The sequence below is a fragment of the Homo sapiens genome, chromosome 7 (assembly GCF_000001405.40).
Source record: "Homo sapiens chromosome 7, GRCh38.p14 Primary Assembly".
Taxonomy (NCBI): domain Eukaryota; kingdom Metazoa; phylum Chordata; class Mammalia; order Primates; family Hominidae; genus Homo; species Homo sapiens.
The window spans coordinates 29,383,745-29,410,780 of NC_000007.14; the positions used below are offsets into that span (position 1 = coordinate 29,383,745).

Below are 27,036 nucleotides of genomic sequence, written 5' to 3' on the forward strand. Positions count from 1 at the left end.
AAGGTCCGACTGAGTTGTGTATGTTTGACCATGCAGCAGTGGGGAAACAGTGAAGAATTCTAAGCTGAGAGCAATGTGACAAGACTTGCATTTTCTGACTTAAGTGTGAATGACAGATTGGAAGGTGATAAAAGGATATAGGGAGACCAGTAAAGAGACTACTTTCGTAGTCTAGATGAGTAGATAGCCCAGTGGACTTGGAGAGAAAGGGACCGTTTTAAGAGCAATTAAGGAATTGCATACAATGAAGAAGACTTCGTGGCAGATTGCAAGTGGGGTTGGGAAGAGGGAGGAGTCAGAGATTATGATTTCTAGCTTGGGCATTGAGTGGGTGATACGCTGGATGGTAGCATTCACAGGGGTGAAGAGCAAAGGAGGCTGAGCCATTAGGTGTGATGAGTGTGATGAGTACTAATCAGTCTACCCAGGTCTCCAGAATGGCCATGTTTTAGGGTTTTAACAATTTTCATATCAACCCATCTGTAACAGCAGAGTCAGTGTTCTCTATAAGTACATTATATCTGTTATCCTTGAGCAATTTCCCTTCCTTTTGGTGTAGGAAAAGATTATGGGCTTTGGAGTCAATTAGACCTTGGTTTGGATCTCATCTCCCTGCCTCTGCATGATCTTCAAGTAATGTTAACCATACAGGCCTTCTTTTTCCCGACTGCAAAATGGGAATGACAGTCTCCATGTGACTTGCTTGTTGGGAGACCTGAAATACCCACACTGAAGGCACTTGTTAAATGTTGGCTCCTCCTCTGCTCCTCCTGGCCCTCCCCTTAGTGGAGTTCTGGGTCAAGGTCAATAGGACTGAACTGGGTGAAGATCAGAACCAGTAGCAAAAGGGCTCAATGCACGAGTCATGGGTATTTGTATGAGTGTGTCTGGGTGTAGTTGCCCTTGCATTACTTTTAAAATATAAATATAAATAATTTTGTCAATTTGCCTTCCTCTGTTATGATATTAATACTTATTGTGTGTAGTGCTTATGTAATGAACCCTGAGAAAACATGACTTCTCTGAGCCCCGTACTGGACAGCCATTAGACAGTGCTTTAGCCACTCCTTCCTGAGAAATCTTCTGTGACCTGGGAAAGCTGTGAGTGGTGGAAGTTTTGTTTCCAACCCAGCAATCAGGGCAAAATTTCAAAGCTACATGCTGTGAGGTGTGGAGTCCCATAGCAGTAAGGAATTCAAACATTAATTCACATGTATGCATAGCATGGCTGATCACTCCCAAGAAATAAATTTCTTCTTTAGTGTTTTTTGTAGTTTAACCTCGTTTAAAATTTTTCCAGGGAGGGAGGAGGTTCCCTTATTAATCTTACTGACATTTTAGTCTGTTCCATTTTGTATTCATCTGATATATTTCCTTAAGTAGTTGGAGGTCTCTCACCAGTACTGTTTTTTCTTAAAAGCTACCTTTATAAATTATCAGCATTATCAAAAGCAAATATTTCCTTCTGCCTTCCTTTTACTCCATTTTACTTAATGTATTTAAAGTTTTTGTTGCTTATTTGCATTTTTGGTTAAAAAAAATGTTTCTAATATTCTTCCTTGGGAATACTTAACAATTCAAAGTTCTTCCAGTCTAAAGCAGGGTTTATTGACCTTGGCACTATTGACCTTTTAGGGGGATAATTGTTTGTTGTAGGGGGTTGTCACATGTACTGTGTGATGTTTATTAACATCCTGGATTCTACCCACTAGAGGCCAGGAATACCCTCCCCCGAGTCCTGACAGTCAAAACTGTCATGAGGCAAAAAATAAGCCAAAGAAGAGGGACCTGGTATGCTAAGGACAGGAGGTCCCACTTTTAAGTAGGGGGATCTGGGAAGGTCCCGCTGAGTTGTGTAGGTTTGACCACGTGGCACTGGGGAACCAGTGGGGAATTTTGAGCAGAGAACAATGTGACGAGATTTCCTCAGACTTTGACAAATGTCCCTTGAGGAGCAGAATCACCTCCCCTCCCAGTTGAGAACCACTGGCCTAAAGAAAATATTTTATGTTTGTTTGCTCTAATATTATCACTGATAATCATAATTTCTGGAAAATTTTGGGGGCAGAAGTGAAGCCAGAAAATAAACCAAATGATTGGGAACTGCTTTTGTCTCGAGCACCCCTAAGCTGATCTACTTGTTTGCATCTGTAAGTTCACAGAATGTTTTGATCAGGTTGCTAAAGTATCCAACTTGTGTGTATGTACAGAACTTAGCAAAGCAATTGGTCACCTTTTAAGGAGATTTATTACAGAAAGACTGACCAGTGGACATTTATAGTACATTCTAATCAATACAGGAAGGAATTCACCTCATCAGTGCCCTATTCGATTTCCAGAAGTGTTAAAGAAATGCCATGAGGAAAAAATTAGGCCTTAGATTCTAAATGGAAAGAAATGGGAGATTTTAGAGTCTGCTCAATTTTCATTCTATGCTCTGCACTTTGACTACAAGAGTGTAAATTTCAGTACTTGCATTTTCTTTCTCTCCTTTTCAGTGGGGGAATCTTTGATTTCTAATTAAAAAGGAATTATCTGTATTTATTTTTTGTGGATGAAATTGCCCCAGTATCACCAGCACAAATCCCCCCATCAAAAGCCTTTTCTCCCCTACTTGATCCATCTCTCAGAAAATCCGGCAATCTAGCTGCCCTGTGTAGGAGGCTGCTAAGTCGGGTTTTTAAATTATTTCTATTAAGTAAAAACTTAACATATACCAGCTGCGGAGGGATTACAAAAGCTTTGTTCTTTCAATAATTGGAAACCTTGTTTACAGAGGACTCACAATATTCTGTAAATGTCTTTGTGTTGAACATAAAGGAACTTGTGTTTATCTAGGCAATGATAATCTGACTATAAAGCAAACTCATTTAAGGATTATGCTTTCTGTCTCTCACTGTGCAGCTGTCACCCTACTGTTCTTTGGAGCTTGGCAAAATACTGAGAAGTCTTCCTTAAAATTGAAAAATACATTGGGAAATAAACCAGGTAGTTTGGGAATACACGTGAATCCAAATCACAGGGAAATATTTGAGAGACCCCAAATGTCACTCCATCCTAGGCAAATTTTTCCGAAGTTCACATTTGCCAATTCATTGATGGAATTCAGTTCATTCAAGAGAGATTTTAAGGTCTCGAGTCCTAGCAAAGAAAACTGAAGACCATTCAGATAATCTAATGTATTTAGTCAAACTGTAAATTTTGAGAGCCAACAAAGGCATTAGCGCTGATTAGTATCTACTGGAGAAGGAGTGAAGCACAGTACTTAGGGGTGGTCCCCATCTAGGCTCAGCCACTTAACTAGCTCTGTGACCTCATGCTATTTAGTGGTTCTCTTTAAAATAACAGCACTCACTTACCTTGGAGCATTGTTTAGAGACTTAAATGAGACAAAAGGAGAGAAACCCTCAGGACTCTGCCTGGCACAGAGTAGCCACTCAATAAATGAGAACCTATTGCCACGATGGTCCAAGTCTCACATGTGGGTATCTCATCTAATCTGTGAAACAGCCTTATTAAAATAGCTCATTTTTATAACCCCAGTTTTACTGAAAATTGAGAAAAATGAGATGCAAAGGAGTGTAATAATCTACTCAGAGTCCCACAGTAACTGGATTGATGAGCAAGGGTCCACATGCATATTCTGTGTCTCATTCTGCAAACATGCAATGAGGACAGGCACTCTTGTTTTCCGAATACTCACTATTTGAATATTTGCTATTGGGACTTGCTAAAAGCCATTCCCAATTAGAAACCAGCTATGACACGTTCTCTCATGTGTGGCAGCTTCTCAAACTTTAATGTATCTATGAATCCCCTTAGAATTGCAGATCCCACATTTCTAGCAAATTCCAAGATGATGCCAATACTGCTGGCCCCGTGATCACACTCTGAGTAGCAGGGTGCTGAAAGACAAAGGGTGGGCTTCTCTCATATCTGTGTTCTCCTGATCCTGTTTAAACATATAGCACATTATATCTGTAATTTCCCTACCTTTTCCCTGAGGGTTTAGCCCTTCAGTATTTGTTTAGGCCAGGACCCTAGGAGCACTACCAACTCAGGTCCAATTAGATAGTAACTTTCGAATCTTTGGTAATATCACTGCATTATTTATTTTTATTATAATACATGCTCAGTGTAGAAGGCTAATGAAATTCCTATTTATTCAGCTGTAGACTGCACACAAATATACCTACTCATTACTGCATTAAGTGTTAAACAATTAGGTAATTGTTTTTTAAGTGTTTTATATTGTGAAAAGATTGCTATTAGATTGTCAGGTAATTATTTAGGAGCATTTTAGTAATATTTGGAAAATGGATATTTTTGCATTCTCTAAAAATGAATTTTGTTTTCTGTGTAAAGTAATGGAATATAGACTCTTGCTGTTTGAAGCTTTGCTGCGCTATACATTTTTTAGGAATGGGTGAGACTCAGATAACAAGGGGTAGCTGCATTTACTCTGTGACAGATATTGGCAGAAATCCTGGAAATAGGTGAATGATGAAGACAAAATTGCTGCTCCACAGAACAGTTAGGAAAAAAATGGCAAATAAATATTTAAAATATGGTGAGATAAGTTTTCTAATGGAGACATGTAAAAGGAGCTCTAAGAACACAGCAAGGGATGGGCCTAACCCTTCCTTCTATACAGAGGAGACCTTCTCAGGATCCCGGTGATAGCTCATAGCAACTGACTGGCTGTCTGCGCCAGGCACTGTTGCAAGCATATTACACATATTTATTCATTTACTCTTACAACAACCCCATGAGACAGGTACTTTTATTATCATTCTCATTTTAAAGATAAGAAAACTGAGGAGTATAGAAATAGGTAACTTGCTTAAATTCCCACAGATCTGGCCTCAAACCTAGGCAGTTTGAGTCCAGAGCCTGCCGTCTTAACCCACATGTGATCTGGCTCATTTGAAAGATAATTCAGGATCTTAAAATAAGACCACGTAAAAATGATAGACATATTAGAGGGCACACACTTATGGCCTCATCTGGTTTGATGAGTGCAGAGGATGAACATAGGATGATGAGACCATTGGGCTGAAAACATAACATTCGCATGGCCTCATATATATAGGAGCACGGTGTGTGGACTGTGGATAGTAGGGACAGGACTGAGCCCATCTCCAGTAGTCACAGTGCTAACAATTTAATTATACTTGAGATGTAACTATAAAGTCATAACATGGATGTTATTTTAACACATCTGTTACATGGGCCTGGTCCCTTCCCTTCAGTCACCTTGGGAAGCTCTGCTTTCATTTCTGCCAAGTTCCCATTGCTCAGAGCGTGTTGGGAACGTCTCTTCTAAAATTCCCATTGCTCAGAGCATGTTGGGAACGTCTCTTCTAAAATTCCCATAGCTCAGAGAGTGTTGGGAATGTCTCTTCTAATATTCCCGTTGCTCAGAGCGTGCTGGGAACGTCTCTTCTAAAATTCCTTCAGAGCAAGTCACAATGAAAATCTTATTCTCTTATGATCATGCCTCGTTTTTGTCTCGAATGTTTTTCCTAGTTTGGTCACTCACCCCGTTTACTTACTGGTCTTGGCTCCAAATAACTTATGCCGGTTTGCTGAAATAACATGCACTCTCAAATCCATTCTCAAAAAAGTAAATGTATGTATATTTCTACATACAGTGATTCTGACTTTAGTATATGCTTTAAAATCATCTAGGGGGCTTGATTAAATTACACGTCATACCTCTACCCTCAGTAATTTTGGTTCAGCTGGTTCGAGATGGGGATGCTGTCTGCAGTCTTCAACAAGCATCTTGAAGTTTCTGTTTTGAATGACCAGTCCACACTGGTCATTTTGAGAAGTGTACCTTTAAGGATATTCACAAGAAAGGGTGGTATATATTAAGGTAGTTCCAAAACAGAAATTCCAAAAATGTTCTGGTCAACAGGGATATAAGTGGCATGTATTGTGCCTCCTTGGGGTGACTATTCTCTTGTAGATGATGCTTATTTAGAATAAAATGTTCAGTTTTATTTTTAAAAAGAATCAGCCGGCCAGGCACGGTGGCTCATGCCTGTAATCCTAGCACTTTGGGAGGCTGAGTTGGGCAGATTGCCTGAGCTCAGGAGTTCGAGACCAGCCTGGGCAACATGGTGAAACCCCCGTCTCTACTAAAATACAAAAATTAGCCAGGCACGGTGGTATGCGCCTGTAATCCCAGCTACTCAGGAGGCTGAGACAGGAGAATCATTTGAATCCGGGAGGTGGAGGTTGTAGTGAGCTGAGATTGCCCCACTGCACTCCAGCCTGGGCAACAGAGCGAGACACTGTCTCAAAAAAAAAAAAAAAAAGAATCAGCCACCATTCTGCATGGTCACACCATATACAGTGAAACCCTCTGTGCCTTGGGAAGGACCCATTTCATGTGTTTTCTCACTCAATGACCTCCTACTTGGTGCTCTCCCTCTGTAAAGAGAGGTGTTCCTTTTTGAGCCAGCTGGATCATCTAAGGACCCAGTATTAGAAGAACTAGTAATCCGTGTAACACGACTACATATTTTCTTTCTCTTAAAAAGAATGAGCTGCTTTCACTTCTTGGAGTCAGAGCACTAAATCCCAAGAGCAGACATGGCCGATCCGACAGCCGTCAGTCCTACTCACAAAGGCCAGGTTCACCAGGTGATGGATTGACCAGCTGCAGCTGCTGTCCTAGGATAGTCACAGTGGCAGGGAAGCTCCAGAACCAGTCTTCATTCTTGTCATGATATATTGCATTTTCCATTCCTTTCTGAATCCATGTGACTGCCTAAATTTTTTTATTAAGTTGCCTGATTTTAACAAACATAGTTTTCAATGAGAATGCAAGAAGAATTTCTGAGTTGCCTTACTTTTTATTTATCAACTATCCTGTCGCCTTCACACCTACTGAAGAGAATCTCATACAATTGGAAACAGAAATTGAGTTACAGTTTCTTTAATTAAATTCAGTTTCACAGGTGGGTCCTGGTTTCCACTGATGGCCAACACGGAGCCTTGCCCAGGGAGTGAGTCAGGCTTCTCTAAGGCACTGCTGGGGGCACAGCACGGAGGTTCTTAGTCTCTTGGCAGACCTTTGTCCCTGGGAGCCCTAGCCCCCAGCCACCTATTCTTTCTGGATCTGAGGATCCAGTATTATCCACCTTGAAGAAATGTAGACGTTGTATGATTTGTATAGCACCATTTAACTTAAACATTAAGCTCTTTACTGGTTTAAAGCTTAGTGAAGTATAGAAATAGAGACTGTGTTTAGACTCCTGTGAGTAAAAAGTTTACAAAAAGAAGAGGATTTTGTTTTTTTGATCCCAGCCTCTCTCTCTCTCTTTGACATTAACAAGGACACATATATTTTCTTTACGAGCTTCAGAGACAAAAAAGGAAGGAGAGATTGGATTGCTATCAAAATGGCCCTCAACCAGTAGAAGCAGTTATCAGATGGCCAACCACATCCTCTATCTTTACTCTCTCTTACTTCTGTCTTTCCTATCCCCTACATAGGGTTGCCAGATTTAGGAAAGAAAGAGAGAGTGGGGAAGAGAGGGAGAAAAGGAGAGAGGGAGGGAGGTAGGAAGGGAAGGGAAGAGGAAGGGAGGGGAGGGGAGGGGAGGGGAAGGGAGGGTAGAAGGGAGGAAGGGAGGGGAGAAGAGAGGAAGGGAGAGAGGGAAGGAGGGACCAGGATGCCTAGTTAAATTTAAATTTCAGATATACAAGGAATCATGTATTAGTATATATCTCATGCAATATTTGGGACGTATTCCATGGCCCTCTTCCATGCCTGTCCCACACAATTCAGGGCTCTTCTTTTATTTTCTAGTGGTTTTCATTTTCAGAAGATTTGTCCCTCAATTGGATCAAACTCTCTTCTGGGCAGAATCTTATCTGGCATCTTTCAAGGCACCCTAAATATCAGCTTCCCTCTTTGGGGGTCTATGTTAGATTTCTCCTTAAGCGTTTCCCTCTGCTGCAAGTGCAGAACACCCCTGAGCGCCTCATACCTTTCCTCTCTGCACCTGCAAGGTCATTACTTCATGCACATGGCTGGCCTGAGCCTAGAGCCCAGAACATAAGGGTGCTGTGTATTTTTATCATTGGTTGATGAACTGAAAGCAATTTGTTGTCTTGTTAAGAATCAATTAAATTCAGCATCTATTAACTGTTTACCTGCATGCCAAGAGTTAGTAGTATTACCATGTGGCTCATCTGGGAAGTTAGATTAGTAACTCTTTCTCTTTTAGGGAAATAAGAAGATACAGGAAGGGAATAGGGTTGAGAGCTACACCCAGATTTTGCAAACTTGTGCTACGGTTCAGCCAAAAAGATGGAAATTTAAAAATCGTCCTCATATGTAGAGAATCACTTCAAATTTTGGAATATCGCCTCTCAAAGAATGGAGATTTTGCCATTATATATCCTCAACTTTCATTGGCTTTTCTAGTTCTAAATTTCTTCTCTGGCATGTTGGTTTTACAGTCACATGTCTATAATATTATAAAACTAAAAAAGAACTTTGAAAGCCGAAAGACTGATATAAATGACAACATATTCAATTCTCATTAAAAAGCTTACCAGCCTGTAGAATAATGGCACACATCATTTATAGAAAGGATATCAGATAACCAGGTGCCTTTTTACACACTTTCTGCTTCTATTAATGATATTATTTAAATCTTCCTTCACAAATGACACCGAGCAGGCTTTGAACCTTGAAGATTAAGTTATGGATGTCCTGCTTGGTTGAGTAATTCTCAGGTGTAAAATGCACAGGAGAGTGAACACATATTTAGAAGTGTCTAGATGATAAGTTTTGTACCAGCGAGGCTTGTCCTAGGCAGCATTGTGAGTGTGGTCCCCAAAGCCCCAGCTCCGCCTTTCTGAGCCTCTTCCCCTAGCTCCTAGTGTCCTGTTACCTATTCAGATCTGCATCCCTTGGAGGATGGAGCTAGGCCAGGAAACTGCCCCATATCATGAAATCCTGCTACTGTGCCTGTCTCTGAGCCCTGCTGTGAAAACTGTCCATTTGACTCTAGGAAGAAATGACTGTGAATAAAACAGCTGCCAAGCTCGTATCCTACAACAGTGAATAAACATAAACTTGCTGTCATACATAGAACCATTCATAAAAACCCATAACTTAATGTGGCTCTACAATGTTTTGAGTGTCCCTGGAGTTAGGAGAGAAGAACAAAGGCCGAGCATGAGAAATCATGTCACTTTCTCACCAACTCCAACATCATAAACATGTGAAAACAAAGCTCTTATGAAAGCAGATGATCATGTATGTGAGAAAAATCAGATGTGATAACCTCAAGGCTAAAGCTGTGATTGAAAGATCCTTTCTGGAATGTTTGTGTTTTAGTCAAGTCATAAATCTTGTCCCCTGTAGCCTGCACCTCTGGTGTCAAATGAATTTCAGCCCATTAGCCACATGTTGAAAAAATAAGAATGTTAAAATATTGATTTTATTTAGAACATGATCAAGTTAAGTCTGCTTTATTTTTTAATCCAGGTAGACTTCTTGTTTTAATTATAAATACATAATAAAAACAATTAGGCACAGAGTAAAATAAATGCTTATGTTTTATTCATGACAGAGTAGTTGTTTTATCCTTCAGGATGAAGCCTTATAATATCCTTACAAATTCCTTAATATTAAAATAAGCATCGCTTTGTTTTTGTTGAAAATTCTCTTATTGGATGATTGGGTTTGGGTGGGAAATGAGCCTAATGATTGATTCTAGGTCATTCCTACCTGATACTGGAATGTGCTGATTATAACTCCATAGCTTCATGGATCTCTGATTTGGAGGATACAATCTGTAATAAAATTACTACCAGGACCCTAGTTCTGTTTATTTGAATAGCATTTTTATCTAGCTGATTTGAATTCAAATGCATTATTAATTTTTTTTTCTTTTTAATATAGGTGGAAAACAGACCAAAATATTATGGAAGAGAGTATGTATTATACTATTCTTTGTTTTAATAATTTAATAAGTAGTCATTTCATGTGTCATTTAAATATTACAAATTTTCTAATATATGGTCATCATCATATGTCTATTGTGCAAGAGTTTAATGATAATAAATGCAATCAGACTCCTTTGAATTAATATTTTTTATAGTAGTCAAGTGCTTGGTTTCCATTAATGTGGGAGGTAGAGCATTTTGCGCTACTTTTCCCTCCACAAAAGAGCTACTGAGTGCCTGGCAAGTACTTGAAACGGAAGGCAGCATTTTTCATAATGGAGGCTCTCTGTTAGTGTTTCATTTCACTTTCTACCTCAACACAATAGAAACGTTTGGTGTGTCCAAGATGGTACACTGTATGTGAGTTCCTGACTTTCGTGTACCTCGGTGCGGTGGTCAGGATAGGCATCCCACTTCTCTGCAGTCTCATAAAACCCAAATGATGATATCTCTTGGCTCGGGTGTAGTAGCCAAATTGCCTTAATACTCCCCTTTCCATTTTTCTCTTAATTTCAACTCTTGTTTTGTTTCACTTTTTCCAAAACCTACTGCCCAGCAAATACGCATGACCATAAAAATAATTCGCAGTCTAAGCCTATGGTGTGTACAGCACAACACAGAGGGCAGGCAGAACGGGCCAGGGGAGAGGAGATGCATCAATCACTTTTCTTCCCAAGTCCAACCTGGAGGCGTTGTGAGGCAACGTCTCTTTTGAGTCTACCTTCCAAGCTCTCACAGCCAATCTCAAACCTTCCTCTTATTCCCTTACCCGTCAGAGCCTCATCTTCATGATTAATGACCCTCTTAGGGGTCCCAGCCCCGTGCACCTTCCTAATTGCCACAGCTGCATTTCAGAACCTTCCTCGCAGCACCCTGGGAATTTGACCAGCACCTCTGGAATGCCTGCCTGGGGGCACTGGCCTCCGCTCCTCTCTACCCCATGCCCCTACTGTCTAATCTATGTTGTAGTATGGCTTTTTTTCCTCAGTATGCTTATTTGTTTTTTCCTTGAAGATAGCACAATTAATTTAAAAAAATAGAAGAAAATGAAAACCTACCATATACACTTTTGCATGTGAATTCTAAAAGGAGCTGTTTATTATGCATTTTCTTTTTGCAGAAAAGTTTTGTCAAATAACTTTTTAATTCTCATCTTCTTACCCCCAATTCATGTAAAACATATGAGAGTCTTGAGACTAAAGAAGTGTTTTCTTAACTACCAAAAGGAACATCTTTTATTAGATGGTAATTAGCCTAAAACCTTCAGATTCTGTGTTTCCCTTTATTTTTTTAAAAAATGAAGGGTGTTTTTTTCTTCCACTTAAAAAGTAATACATGCTTCATTCAGGAAACGCACATACACATTTATTCCTAGAAGGAATCACAAGAAACTATTGACAATGGATACCTTTAGGGAGAGAGGAATTTTGCATTTTTAGTTCTTTTATACCTTCAACTTTTGAAATTGGAATTTTCTGCTGTGCACAGGTATTACTTCTGTTTCTAAAAATAAATTATGGCTGGGCACAGTGGCTCACGCCTGTAGTCCCAGCACTTTGGGAGGCCAGGGAAGGCAGATCACTTGTGCTCAGGAGATTAAGACCAGCCTGAGCAACATGGGAAGACCTCATCTCTACAAGAAATACAAATATTACCTAGGCATGGTGGCACATGCCTATGGTCCCAGCTACTCAGGACCACAGGTGGGAGGTGGGAGGATCACTTGAGCCCAGAAGGTCAACTGAACCATTGCACTCCAGCCTGGGCAACAGAGTGAGACCTTGTACAAAAAAAAATTAATAAATTAATACCAATTAACTTGGAAAATTAGAAAATAAAGGAAAATAGAAGAGGGAAAATACCCATAGTTCTACCATGAAAGAGAATCATTGCTAACCTTTTCTCTTCATCTCTTTCTGGTCTTTGTGCATGCTTGCTTTTTTCTTACCAAGTTGCAGTCATACAAATATATTAGATATTATAGGTTGGAGATATTTGGACTTTTAAAAATGATGCATAAAGGGGATGACAAGCCACAGACTGGTCTTCAGGTGCACAAAATTGTCATTTTCTTCTTTTGAATGATTGAATTTAATTTAGTTATTGACACTGTTTGACGCTGTCAATCACTTAAACTTGCCAATTCAAGTGAATTAAAACTTAAGTTCTAGGTGACTATAGTTAAAACAATTTATTATATATTCCAAAATAGCTAAGAGAGGCTTTCGAATGTTCCTAACATAAACAATAAATGCTTGAGGTGACAGGCATCCTGATTACCCTGATTTGATCATTATACATTGTACTTATGTATCAAAATATCACATGTTCTCCATAAATATGTACAATAATTATATATCAATTAAAAATAAAAATAGAAAAAGTATGCATACTCAAAATCAAGAATTAAAAAAGAAACATAAGACTTAGCTGCTTTTGACTGGGCACAGTGGCTCACACCTGTAATCCCAGCACTTTGGGAGACCGAGGCGGGTTGATCGCCTGAGTTCAGGAGTTCGAGACCACTCCGGGCAACATGGTGAGACCCGCCCCCACTCCCCGCATCTCTACTGAAATACAAAAAATTTGCCGGGCATGGTGGGGTGTGCCTGTAGTCCCAGCTACTCGAGAGGCTGAGGCAGGAGCATTGCTTGAGCCTGGGAGGCGGAGGTTGCAGTGAGCGAGCTGAGATCGCGCCATTGCACTCCAGCTTAGGCTACAGAGTGAGACTCTCTCCAAAAAAAAAAAAAAAAAAAAAAAAAATCTAGCTGCTTTTGGGTTAACTGCCTTGTTTAGAGACTACCCCTTTTCCTGTCCCTTCTCCTGGAGTGACCTGGGGCAGGTCCCTCTGCGTGCCCTGTCCTGCTATTGTTACTCTGGCCCACGGGCTGTGTCTTCGACATCCCAGCTTTTGTCTTTTCTACTTATGTGTTGGAATATTGGCAATGCTGTCTGCCCCTCCCACTCTCCTGCTGCATGTCCCTCCCCCCACACCCACCCCCACACTCACTGCCAACCCACCCGCCAACCCATCCGCAAGGCTGCCCCCAGGGCTCTTTGCCCAGGCCATCTGTCCCATCCTCTCCAACCTGGCTCAGGCTGCACAGGAGGCTCCTCCGCAAAGTTCCTAGGTCCAGTGACCTCACTATCAAAGCTCCAACACCTCTGCTCCAGGCCCCAATAAACTGGCCTCCCGGTTCCAATCCACACCTGCTATGCAGGGCCAGTTAGACCCCCTGAGACTGGGCTCTGCCTCAGTCCCTCCCACCAGAACCGGGGATTCACAGAACATTCATCCTCACTCAGAAGAGCATTGCTCCAAGACCTCCAGACATCAGCTGTTGAGATTTAAAATCAAAATTTGGGAAGCCAGAAAGCCTTTTTCTTCCAGGCCATCACTGCCGTACACCTTTAAGAAGCGATTTTGAAACACAAAGCCACAGGCTGCTTCTGACCTCACTTTCCTTGGACAGAAGCTTCAGCTTGGAAGGTCTACTTTTTAAGGATAGAGGGAATTAGGAAATAAATATTGTGATAGGCACTTTTAAAAATGTTATCCTTCTGCATTTGTACTCTAACTTAATCTTTGCATTCCTGAGGAAAATACAAAACAAAAGAAAATTTGTCTAGCTTACTTCCCTTTCCTCCTCTTCAAGAAAGTAAAGGTGTTTTTCTCTGTCCAGAAAATTTATTCTCTGATTTATTATCCAAAGTTCTCCAAGGTTGGATAATCCTAGAAAGGGGTGTTACTCCTTTCCCAGAAGCTTGAAGTCCCTTGGGACTGCCTCATTTCCCCAACCCAGCTTGCCCCACTTTCCATGAAATACTGGTTGATCAAATCTCCAGTCCTGTGGGAGGAGCAGCTGTATTTACTTAAAGGCAACAGGGAACGTGGGCTGGTTCCTGACCCAACTCCTACCTCTCCCTATTCCTCTGTGGAGTCACTGTCCACTCTCTGGGCCTCAGACAACTGCCTCCACATCAGAGTGATCATGGGCCAGCACACAACCCTCCCGGATATGCCACATTTTCCACATGCATGTGTATGGGTTTTAAAATGGTAGAGAAGATAAATTTATCTTTAAAAAAGAAAAATAGGTACATTTTCTAAAATACCCATAAGCTATTGCTCTCCAAGTGTAAATAACTGGAAGAATGTTGATGATAGCTACCTCTTTCCAGAAAATGAGCCTCTAAAATTAACACCACCCTGCACCTGAAGCAAGCAGGTTGCTAATCAATAAATGTCCACTTGCAATTAGGATAACACATAGTTCTCTGAGCTGAGAGCTAAATTGGTAATTGCTCTTCTGTTATTTCCCATGGTTAAAAAAAAGGGGGGGGGGGGGCGGTGGTTGAGTAACCTGGCTTTTTGTTTCAACTTTCATTTTCAACTTGAAAGCAAAGACAATAGCAGAAAGCCAGGTGGACTGGGCATCCTTCCTTTTGTTTGCCTGCTTGAATACTTGTGTTTGGAGCATGTGAGGGGTGGTTCCAAGTCACTTAAGATGGGCAGTAGTCACCCCCCTTCTTCACTCAGTTGTGGGGCTGTCGATTCTGGGTGCCCCCACCATCCTTTTAAGGCTAGTTCTTTGTGGTCCTTATTCTGTATGTGGTCTGTTCAGAGCATTGATGGTCTTGTACCTTCAGGTTTCATGGGATCATCTCTCGGGAGCAGGCGGATGAGCTTCTTGGAGGCGTGGAGGGTGCCTACATCCTTAGAGAAAGCCAGCGGCAACCAGGATGCTACACGCTGGCTCTCAGGTGAGGCGCATTTCATTCCTTGTTTTCATTGCTGTACAAGTGGCTTCACTGATGTTTGCCCATTTTTAAGAATTGTAGCAGAGTATACATAACACAAAATTCATCATTTTTCCCATGTTTATGTTATGAGGGGGGGGTCCCACTCTCTCACCCAGGCTGGAGTGCAGTGGCACAATCATGGCTCACTGCAGCCTCTGCCTCCCAGGCTCAAGTGCCTCCCACCTTAGCCTCCTGAGTAGCTGGGACCACAGGCACACACCACCATGACTGGCTAATTTTTTTTTTTTTTTTTTTTGAAGAGAATGGGGTCTCACCATGTTGCCCGGGCTGGTCTTGAACTCCTGGGCTCAAGCCATCCGCCTGTCTCAGCCTCCCAAAGTTCTGGGATTACAGTCAGGAGCCACTGCACCTGGCCTCCTTTTAAAATTTTTAAGTAAAATTCAGTGGCATTAAGTACATTATTAATGTTGTACAAACATCTCCATATTCATTTCCAGAACTTTCTCATCATCCCACACAGAAACCCACTACCATAAACAATTACCCCTCCCTACTCCTTACTTGATATCTTCACTTGTTTCTGAAGCACCAGCAGTATATCAGAGTTTGTTTACATTTCCTCAGCCGCAGATGCTATCGGTAGGTGTGGACACTGGGACTCTGATCATGGACACACAGTAAACTGGAGAACCATCTGGAAAGTTAGTGTTTCTACAGCCACCTCTGCCTGCACCATCTAGCTGGCCGAGGCTGCAGCGTCTTTGCCTCAGCTCCCAGCAGCCCATGTTGAAGGAAGGGCTCCTTCACCTGGCCTTGCACGTGCAGACCTCACAAGACCTGCATTTGCTCATGGGGTTCTCTCAGGGTTCACCTTGTTGACCCCAGGAACCTGTCGTGAGGGCAGTCATGACCCTTCAGGCCAATGAGCCAGTAGAACAGGCTCTACTGAGCCTTTACCACAAAATCACAAGTATTAAACATCACAACATAAGAAAGACAGCACATTTATGGCACTTTTCAAACCTTGATCAAATATTTTCTGTCATTTGATCCTCGCCGTAGCCCTATACATTTCGGGGAAGGTATCCAATTTCAGAACTGAATTGTCTTCCAAAAGTTCATTTGTGAACTCTTCGGAATTGGAAAGCCCTCTCTCCATAGGGGGAATGGTGTCCATGGAAGCCCTTCCCAGGCCCACAATGGTGTGTTCCATGCACCATCTCCCTATTATGGCTGTGCAATGACACTTTCCAAGTTGCAACATGTCTACAGCATATCTTAAATAATGTAATTATGAGGACGAACTTAAAAAGCTATTATATCATGCGCTCTAGGTGTGCAAAATAATTTCCTATCTTCCCAGCACTTCAGTAGCAGAAGCTGGCAGTTGTAGTGGGGAGTCAAGCAGGGGCTGTAGATGGAAGGTCAGGGCCCAGAGAGGAGGGAACCTCTAGGTTAGATTGTGGGGACACTGGCAACAGCTCCAGCAGGGAGTTTAGCACACCTTATTGCTTCCCTTCTGCTGCACCAACTAGGGCGGAAGGCATGGGGTGCTCTGCTGGAGGTGGTAAAGATGCGTTAACAAGGGGGCATCAGGACCAGGACAGGGCATCCCTTGCAGAGGTAATTGCCAGGTATAGAGGAGAGCTGGTTCCCGTTAAGTAAGTTTACAGGTAACATAGTTGTAAATCAGGCATTACCCTCTGACCCTTACAAATGAGAAGGATACTGACAATGACCTTAGTGATTTCTAGGATCAAACGACTCCATGTGATGTCCTGGGGTTAAGCCCCACCTCTGCCTCGTTCCAGTCATATAAACTCAAGCAGGAACCGCCATCTCTTCAAGCATCAGTTACCTTTGCGGTAAGACAGGCATAACCATTATACCGTCTCAAAGGGTCTCTGTGAGCGTTAGGGGAAAAAAAATCACATCAAGTGCTTAGCCCTGTGCCTGGGATACACTAAGTATTCAAAAAACGTTAGCTGCTATTGTTATCATTCCACACTGTGCTTATTTCTAACGTGGTTGTAATCCCTCATTCTCTCACGGGCAGGTTTGGAAACCAGACCTTAAACTACAGGCTCTTCCACGACGGGAAACACTTTGTGGGTGAGAAGAGGTTTGAGTCGATTCATGATCTGGTGACAGATGGCTTGATAACACTGTACATAGAAACAAAAGCTGCCGAGTACATTTCAAAAATGACAACTAACCCCATCTATGAACACATTGGATATGCCACCCTACTCAGAGAAAAAGTATCCAGAAGGCTGAGCAGGTCTAAAAATGAACCAAGAAAAACAAACGTCACACATGAAGAACACACAGCGGTGGAAAAGGTGAGCTGTGTGTGATGGAAGCAGCCTTTCGTTTTAATCCATGCCGCATCAACAGGCGGGTTAACTATAGGTGCGATTTGCTGAAATGTTGGAGGAGACCCACCCCCACCCGAAGAACTCTAGAATGTTAGGGCCAAAGGGACCTTAGAAATCTTCTAGCTCAGGCCGGGCGTGGTGGCTCATGCCTGTAATCTCTTTGGGAGGCCGAGGCAGGTGGATCACGAGGTCAGGAGATAGAGACCATCCTGGCTAACACGGTGAAACCCCGTCTCTACAAAAAATACAAAAAATCAGCCGGGTGTGGTGGTGGGCGCCTGTAGTCCCAGTTACTTGGGAGGCTGAGGCAGGAGAATGGCATGAACCCAGGACGGGGAGCTTGCAGTGAGCCAAGATTGTGCCACTGCACTCCAGTCTGGGCAACAGAGCGAGACTCCGTCTCAAAAAAAAAAAAAATCTTCTAGGTCAGCCCCCTCATTTTACAGATGAAGCCCAGAAATGTTTGATGATTTGTTCAAATTCATACAGTCAGACCCAGGACTTCTACCAAGTCATTTGTGGGTTTATTTGGAGTTTGAAAGAAAAAAAAAACAAACCTCCATTAATGTATTATGATGAAACATGTTTTCAGTCACCATTTGAGGTGTCACTGGCTCCATCTTTAGTTCCACCCAGCCGGCCAAATACGTGGTATTTGTATTTGCTTCTCTTAGGACTGGGTGACTGCCCATGATCCACAGGTCAGGTCTCTTGAAGGTGGTCTTACTTAGATAACAGGTTTCACTGACAGATATGGGAGCATTTCACTGACAGATATGGGAACGTGGCTATCTCTGGGAAGTAGAAAGACAAGCTGTCCTTTGCCCCAAAGTTATTATGCCTCACCAAGGATTAAAAAACTCCTAAGTGGGCAAGTATGCAGGCGGGGGGTAGATTGTGGCAGGAGGCGGCCAGGGAGATCTGATTTTCCTCTCCAGTAAGTTGCTGTTTGTTTGAAAGGCACCACCAGAGTTTGCTAGCAGATTTTTGGGATGTGCCCCTTGAGGGACCATCTGCTTTGCCTGGTCCTATCTGTTTCCCACTGAAAGAAAGTGACAGCCAGCCACGCCAATCAGCCCCTGCAGAGTCTGTGCTGAGCCCGGCTTGTCAGGCACACTAGGGCTGGGACAGATAGAAATAAGCGGATAGGAGCTACAGCCCCGCCACACTGCTCCTTCCAGTGGTCACTAATCCTAGTTAAACCGGAACGGGCCTCCCGTCGTCCAGTGTCAATGGGAAGCAAAGGAGCCTCGGGCTGATGGATTCGGGACTGGCATTGGCAGAGGGGCTTCATCAGAAAGCCCTGAGAGGGAGGAGGGCGGGGTGGCACCGTGGTCCCGTTGGTGGAGACAGGGATCATGTCAACTGATTTGCTGATTGAGCTTCAGATCCTAGGAGAACCTTCCACAGAATCACATCAGTGCAGCAGCTGGGCCCATGAAAATATAATTTGCCATTTTCTTTTTATAACTCCAGTGTCTCCAAAGCACCTGTTTATTCTTTTCCAAATAATTGCTTTGGGAAATTGTGGGGTTTCTGACTGTTTACATTTTAACAAAAGAGAGAGGACTTGAGTCCCAACTTTCAGAGTTTGTTCCGGTCCAGACAAAAGCCATTCCTTAGTCTGTTTGCAAAATCTGTTCCAAAGTAATTTAGAATAGAAAATATGAAAGCCGACCTTCCCAGCCATGACAAATCAGAAGATGAATTGTAAAATAAATCTCTGAAGCAGTGTTTATATTTCTGAATCAGAGAGCAAAGTCACTGAAAAGGCAATCTGTTACAAACTGCAGGATGCACACTAGAACAGCTCAAGGAAAAGAGGAGAGCAGGAGGAGTGTCTCTTCTGTGTTAGGGCCGACTTGAGATCCTGGGTATTGAAACTGATATTTCTAGATTCTTGTCCTTCCCTGAGAGGGAAGTTTGGTCAACAGAAACTGATATTTCTGGACAATATTCCTATCAGGAAACTTGTACCTCAAAATATGCCCCCTTGTGCAGATATTTTTGTATTTATTTGTCAAAAATAAATTGTGGAGGAAATTAATAATCCAATTAATAATCACTTTGAATGAGCCACCCAATATACATTTACCTTTTTGGGAAACGGTAAATCAAGAAAATATTGCAGGAAGACACCCCAACTCTCTGAGCAGTTTGATGGACGGGTGTCGGTGGTGTGGATTTTCTTGGACACTAATGATGTGATGTTTGGTTGTCCCAAGGGACACTGGGCCTGGTCACTTGCTGGGGCTACTCATTTTGTTAGTAGTTTGTTAAGTTACTTGGTACGAATCCATCCGTTTCTCTCTGACCTATATTGACAAGTGGAATTATTAAAGGTCTCAGCCTTGCCAGAGATTCTGTTTCCCTTAAAGGCAGTCAGTGGTCCATTGCGATGGAGTCAGTGACTAGAAAAGAGGGACTGGAAACGTGAATGGCTTCACTGAGAAGAGTGGGTGGGGGGAGGGTACCTGTTTGCTTTGCTAAGGGCGTGTCTTGAAGGTTTTAATGAGTGAAATGAGCAGGTTTCCTAATATTTCTCAATTCCAGACACACCAGCATTTCCGTTTCCAGGTACTTAAATTTCGTTTTCTCATTTGTTTTATTGATCGTTTCCAAATGAATCCAGAGAGACGATGTTACCTGTGTATCCAAGAATACTAACGCAGTAATAATTGGCAAAAAGAGATTACCTACTCCATCAGATTTGAGTGGCTCCCAGATTTCTCTCCAGTCATGATTGTTAGCAGTAAACTTGATTTTAATAACCGTAGATGAGATGGAGAGGCAGGGAGGAAGGCAGAAAAAAAAAAAAAGTTGTGATGGTTAGCCAATAGTGATCCGTCTCCCCACTGATTCTTTATTTAGTTGGATTTAAAAACATTATGATGTATGTGGGCCACCATTCGGTGCATCTAATTAAAATGGTCACATCCAGTGTCATTTCTTCTATGAAACGCATTTCAGAACTTATTCCATAGATGGATTATCTACTGACCTTCACATCACTGTAAGCAACAAAGGAATAACAGGAGATTTAACATGAGCTCAGACATTTAGTGTTAAACACATTTCACATATGTGAACTAATTTCCCATTTTATCCTCAGAACCACTTTGCCAGGTCCGTAGGGCAGGAATCACCATCCCCATCTTATTGAAAGGCTCACGGTGGCAGGGTGAGGAATCAGACCCAGGCTTCCTGATTCCACGCTCAAAGCTTCTTAAATCAACTGAGCAGTTGTGCCTCATTCTGTGCTCACTGCCCTTAGTGCTTTGAGCGAACACCCTTGGTTTTGGGCCATCCTGAGGCAAGTGATGCTAAAAGTACTCAGTATTTACATGATCTGTTTCTGAAAACAGATCATGTAAGCAGAAAACTGCTATTACGAGCTATAATAACTAGTATTTTCTTAAAAAGTATACCCTACGAATCCAATGCATATGACAACAGTGTTTTTGACAGCACATTTTTATTCAATAAATATGGTTTGTCATATTAAATTGCATCTGTGTTTTAGTGGGGAAAAAATGATCCATGCCCTTAAATAATAAAAGCACATTTAAGAATATATTATACCAGTTTATCCGTTTCACTGTTCATTATAGCAGCAAAAATTAGAAAATGACCTTAATGTCCATCAATTTGAGACTGCTTAAATGGATTATGGTACATCCATGTTAAGGAATATCACACAACCCCAGGAAAGGAATGAATGAGAACCCTCATATGGGCTGATGTGGAATGGGCACTTGGAATCGTTATATGGAAAAGTACCTAGCAGTGTGGTGTGTGGAGTATGGTATTATTTGAGTAAACTAGTAGAAAAAAATATTTTTATTGATTTTTATTTTAAAATTGTATGTATTTATTATTTTTTAAAGACAGGATCTCACTTTATTGCCCAGGCTGGTCTCAAACTCGTGGGCTCAAGCGATCCTCCCATCTCAGCCTCCCAAGTAGCTGGGATTACAGGTACGAGCCACCGCATCCAGCCAAAAAAAGCTTTAGCATATATTTTTTTCATGCAAAGTCATAAATATCCCTTGAAGGATGCAAGAGCCAGTATCACTGATTGCCTTTGAAGAAGGGAAGTGGGTGTCTGAGGGGTACAGTGTGGAAGGAGATTTTTCCCTGCTACTCTTTCAGACTCTTGGAATTTTAAACCGTGATCGATGCAGTGCCCTATTTAAAAATTTAAATAAGAGAAAATAATGCGCTGTGTATTAAATTCACATACATTAAAGCATACCCTGAATAAAGAAACATTCTCTGTATGGAGTGCTTATGTCACCATACACACACACACACACACACACACACACACACACACACACACACACACACACACACACGGCAGTTCCAACACTCTGCACCCAGGCTGTTTCTTCTCAGCTCAACCCGATGCTGATAGGACACTTTCATTTCTCCATGGGGTCTTTAACGAAGAGTCTGTGTTTAGCAGAGTTTTACTAAAGGTTGGAGCTGGGAGAGCGTAATGATAGCACAGGGCGCACATCATTAACTACAGTGCAGTGTGTCTGCCCCTGGCAGTGGATTGGCTGCTGCTTTCTTCCTTCCTGGCATTGCCTCCCCTGACACACAGACCCCTCAGCTGTGCCCTCTGGGACCCTCCCCAGCTCTCCTCCCATTAACCACCCCACCATCACCACGCCTTTCTCAAACTGCTGCCAAGCCAACTCCCAGAGTCCTCTTGCTTTCTTAGGGCAGGCACCGAAGCCCTCTTTGGTTTCTACTTTCTTCCTGCAAAACCAAAGAGAGTTACCTTTTCTGGACTGAAGGCCTTCCAACCTTACTGGGTTGTCCTTTACAGATGAACTGTTTCATCAGAGAACAACCTCTCCCCTCTTGTCTCCCACTCAGCGTTTTGTTTGTTTGTTTGTTTTTTCTTTCTAAATTATTTTCTTCCTTCCCAGCTGCCCGCCTTTATATCCAAGGTGGTCCTTTCATTGGTTGTTTCACTGTTTCCATCATGTGATCTGCTGGCCTGTCCCGGTATCTTTGCCTAGGAATGATTCCCTACAATGTGCTTGAACAGAGGCCGTGGCCAGGCCAAGGAGTGAATGTCCAGCCCTCGCTTACTGGCAGAAGTCTTCATACAAGGTTGAGCCTGTCCCGAGTGGTTCTCCCCAGTGCCATGCTCGCATCTCATGGCTGGTGTCCCCGTGGTGACTCTGTGCTCATCAGAGTGTTATTGTTGTTGCTGTAATTCTGCAACAGCTCTTATTTGCTTTTTCTCTAGGACAGAGTTCAAATTCCTTACAGGAAATTTGCAGCCTGTTTAAGCCTGGGCCCCTTGGAGAAGCAAAGCCTGAGACTGGGGTTTGGTACAGATGGGGAATTTGGAAAGGCATCCCAGGGAGAGGAGGAGAAGCTGGGCAGGTAAATAGAGGAGGAGAGAGGCTGGTATATGCACGTTGTGGAGCTGATCACCTTCTCAGGAGCCGGGTAGAACTGCTTCTAAGAGGAATTGAAGTGGGAGTGTTTAACGCATCACCTCCTGTCCCCTCTTGGTTGAGGGGTACCTGTGAGCTGTTAACATTCTCCCCAGTTCCAGGCCAGGCATGCTGGAGAGCTAGGTGGGTGCCATGGGCATCCCTGGCAGCCTGTGGAGTCCAGTGCAGCTGTCCTTTTCTACTATTGAATAGAACCTGCCACACTCAGCCTCCCCTCCCCTCCCCGCCCTGGCATGCTGCACACCACCTTTATGAGAGTTCATCACCCTGTGTCCAGCGTCATTGTTTTGATCAGTGGTTCTCAAAGCATGGCCCTCGGGAACCAGCAGCATCAACATCAGCTGGGAGGCTGGTTAGAAATGCACGTTCCCAGGAGCCACTGTGTGGGGGACTCTGGGGTGCCCTCCGCCAATGTGTGTTTTAAGCTTTAGGCAGTTCTGATTCCCACCTGCATTTAAAAATCTGTGGTTTCTATGTCTGTCTCTTTCCCCAGAGGTGGATCAGTGGGAGGCAGAGGCTACTCCTCAGCCTACTTCCTAATTCTAACGCCCTCCACCTCACTCGGTGAAGCAAGCACTGATTGAATGAAAAATGGATGGGTGACTTTTAAAATGTAACACATTGCCCCACATTCACCCTAAGGAACAGCGTATCTCAAATTCACCAAGAGGGTGCCTCAGCATCTCCCGCACCGTCTCTCAGCACGTGCTCCTTCCTTCACTGGGCTAAGATCTGGCCACCAACTCCTTGTAGCATCAGGAGCAGCAGGAGTCTGGAGAAGCAGGGGAATCGTGGAGACCATCTCATGCAACCCTTCTGTTTTGCAGGACAGGAAACTGAGGCACCCGGCTCAATAGCTTAGAAAGTATTTCAGTGACACCAAGGAGGCTTGGATAGAAAAGGATGCTTTTCAGCAGCTATCTTAGAGTTAAGATTGTTGAGGCCTTTTTTTTGGATGGGATCCACAACTGTGCCACTGTGGAGGGGGTCTTGGTCCTAGGGGGTGGAGAGGCTTGGTGACTTCATTCAGGACAGTAGATTCAAACATAGTGTTACCCATTGTCCTTCACCAAGCAGAGGCGTGCATTCATTTGCCAAAGAAAGAACCTGAATTGTTAATGCAGAAAGCATTATGGAGCTGGAAAAGATCACTTGCATTACAGGGTCTAAAGAACCTATAGATTTTCTCTGCAGGAGGTTCTTTGGAAATAACATGTAACTGACATACCCAGTCTTTTCTCAGGATTCAAGGGTAAATGAAGATGAGCATAACTTAGCTATTATAGTAGGTGACAGGTACCCTGATGATGCTGACCAGCCGACTTGCTGCCCTTGCACGCAGTCATAAAATGGGGTGGGATAGGATGCAGTGAGAATGGATTTAACTTAGATTACATCCGCTCATGAGACTGGGTTTTGCCAAGCATTGTTTTAAACCAGAATTCCCTAATGATTTGGGATTTATCACTCAGTCTGAGCAATTGCTGATTTGGTTGGCTTGGTGGTTCTCAAACTGACTGAAGGTTGGACTCACTCTGGGAGCTTTTAAAAAAATGCCCATGGCCGGGCTTGGTGGCTCATGCCTGTAATCCCAGCACTTTGGGTGGCAGAGGCTGGCGGATCACTTGAGGTCAGGAGTTCAAGACCAGCCTGGCCAACATGGTGAAACCCCATCTCTACTAAAAATACAAAAAAATTAGCCAGGCACTGTGGCACATGCCTGTAATCCCAGCTACTCTGGAGGCTGAGACAGGAGAATCACCCGAACTCAGAAGGCGGAGGTTGTAGTGAGCCCAGATCACACCACTGCACTCCAGCCTGGACGGCGGAGTGAGACTCAGTATCAAAAAAAAAAAATAAATTAAATTAAAAAATATATATTAAAAATGCCCATGTTTGACCCCACCTGCCTATGGAATCAAAGTCTTCACTGGTGAAAGGCACCTGTCGGTCTTTTTTGGCTCCTCAGGTGATTGTCAAGTGCAGGGCTTGAGAACCTGGGTTAGATGGAAGGGGAGACGAGAGTAAAGGTGATCAGACATTTTGGAGCATTTTCTTTCAAGGACACCTGTCTCACTTCTTCCCATGCCTCTTATATTCCTGAGGCTCTTTTATGTTGTAAATTAGACCCTAGCCTTCTTTCTCTACTTTTACACAACACGTGAGAAGTCCTCTGGGGAAACATTCTTCACACAGTTAACTCTGGTGGCTACAGTTACCTGTGCTGGTTCAGGGTTTGGCTTTGCTCCCTTTCCATGACTCCTTTCCCGAGATTATTGCCTGAAATATAAATGATGGGAAACAATTAACTGAAGTGGGATTAAAGAATTTAATGAAGGGGCAAGGAAAAGTTAGTCCCTCTCTCAGGGGTCAGCTAGTGGTTTCTTTGGGTGGATATTAGAAAGAATCTCTTTTTACCAGTTCCTCAATATCGGTGTTTTCAAAGAGGAACGGAAGAGGAAAGTCATCCTAATACATTCAGCGTATGGAGGGATATGATGGGCCAAACGCCAAACCCTCCTTGTCCCCATCCAAAATCTCTCTAGGAAACAGCTAATTTAGAGACACGGCTCCCGAGAAAGTATTTTCTATGCAAATAGTGCCATCTTGTGGCTGAAAGGAGAGTTACATGCTGATGACACAAAGGACCAAACCTAACGGATGTGAAAATGTGCAAGAACAAATTTTTCAGCAATGAATCCATTGAGTCATCCCACTTTCCTCAAGTTTTATAGCACAGATCAGGCTACACAGTGGCTTGGGGTGTCTGTTCTGTAGCCTGTGCTCCTTCTCTGCATAAGCACGTGGGCAGCTCTGCGGGCCTAGGACTTGTAAAAATCATCCCAGGAATCTAATTCTAGTCCAAAAGTGCTCAAACTTCTCGGCCTCAGGACCCCTCTATACTCTTTAAAGTTACTGAGGACCCCAAAGAGCTTCTGTTAATGTGGGTTAAATCTTGATATTTATGGTATTAGAAAGTAAAATAGAAAAATCTAAAATATTTATTAATTCTTTCAACATAATAGTAATAAACCTATTATGTGTTAGTATGAATAACATATTTTTGTGAAAAATAACACTGTTTTCCAAATAAAAAAGTGATGAGAATATTGGCATTGTTTTTACATTTTTGTAAATCTCTTTAGTGTCTGGCTTAAAAGAAGACAGCTGGCTTCTCACATCTGCTCCTGTATTCAACCTGGGATATATTGTTTTATTTGAAGTATAGGAAGAAGTCTGGCCTCACACAGATGTGTAGTTGGAAAAAAGAGGAGTGTTCTTATAGCCTTTTCAGGTAAATGTGGGCTTTAAAATATATACTAGACCACAATTCAACAAGTGGTAGTTTCTTAAAGGTTAGTTGCAATGTCAATCACAGAAGGCAATTACTGTAATAAAATCAGTTTTGACATCATGGACTCTCTAAAGGGATCTTGGGGATCCCCAAACATTGGTGGGCCACAGTTTGATGAAGAGCCCAGCTTTTCAAGATGTTTATATTTTGACATCTCCAGAGTGGTGTTTGAGAGGAATTGTCCCACCACTTTTATCACCTTTGACTGCAGGAGGTAAATGATGCTGTCACCTGGGACTGCTGTACACCTATGGGGACTGGGCAGGCTATGATGAGGAGGCATTCTTCTGGACCTGACCCACCAAGCGCCTGCCCTGAGCACGACCTCAGAGCTCTTCCCAGTGGCTCTCACTAGGCGGTGGGGGGACAACAGGCTGAGTCTATATGAGTTTTAATTTTAGGGATCCCTCTGGGGTTGTTGAATGTTTTTAATTTCATCGAGGCTTTTTAATCATGGGACTTTTAAATAATTTATTCTGGAAGAAAATTTTTATAATGTTTAAAACAGGGTAGTGTCTTGTTTATATTTTAGTTGGGCTTAATCGTAGGAACAGTGTTGGTAGATTTAGGGTGATTACTTTCATTTTTAAGGTGAAATTGAGCTGTTTTTGTCTTTTTAGTAATTATATGGTGGTTTTTGGCTGTGAGTAAAATATTAATGTTTGTTTATTAGTCTAGGTGGGATGATATGTTAAAAAGATAAAAGACAATAATTTGGATAAGTATTTAGGGTTCTCTTGATTAAAGGTTTTTTTTTAATTAAATAGGTTTGAGGTGAGAAATGGAGAGTATATTTGCATTATGTCTGTGGGTCATCTATTGGCACTTAGTTTTTTAATTGGTAAGCGTTGAAATAGAGACTCTTGTTTGAGGAGTCTTAGCCCCTCACCTAAATTGGGTATTTTGTTGAGTATGGGATGTGAGATTATACTTGACTTTTTTGATTTGTTTTTCTAATTAGGGGAGTTTGTCTTTTTTTGTATTTTTGTTTTTGAAGAAACTGGAGGGAAAAAGTTATAGGAGTTGATGAAAAAGTTGAAGGAGAGTGTTATTATTTTAGACCTTTGTAAGGGGAGAAAAA

General features: G+C 42.5%; 1 protein-coding gene across 13 annotated transcripts in view; it reads left to right on the forward strand.

Annotated features, from left to right (window-relative positions):
* Positions 1-27,036, forward strand: part of CHN2 (chimerin 2) — a 367,738-nt gene that overhangs the window by 237,154 nt on the left and 103,548 nt on the right. For all 13 annotated transcript variants that reach the window (XM_011515105.3, XM_011515106.3, NM_001398427.1 and 10 more), the window contains 3 exons: positions 9,935-9,966; positions 14,629-14,742; positions 16,799-17,084. In XM_011515105.3, the coding sequence (XP_011513407.2) occupies positions 16,947-17,084 (138 nt within the window). In that variant the 5' untranslated portion in view covers positions 9,935-9,966; positions 14,629-14,742; positions 16,799-16,946. The remainder of the gene's footprint in view (positions 1-9,934; positions 9,967-14,628; positions 14,743-16,798; positions 17,085-27,036) is intronic.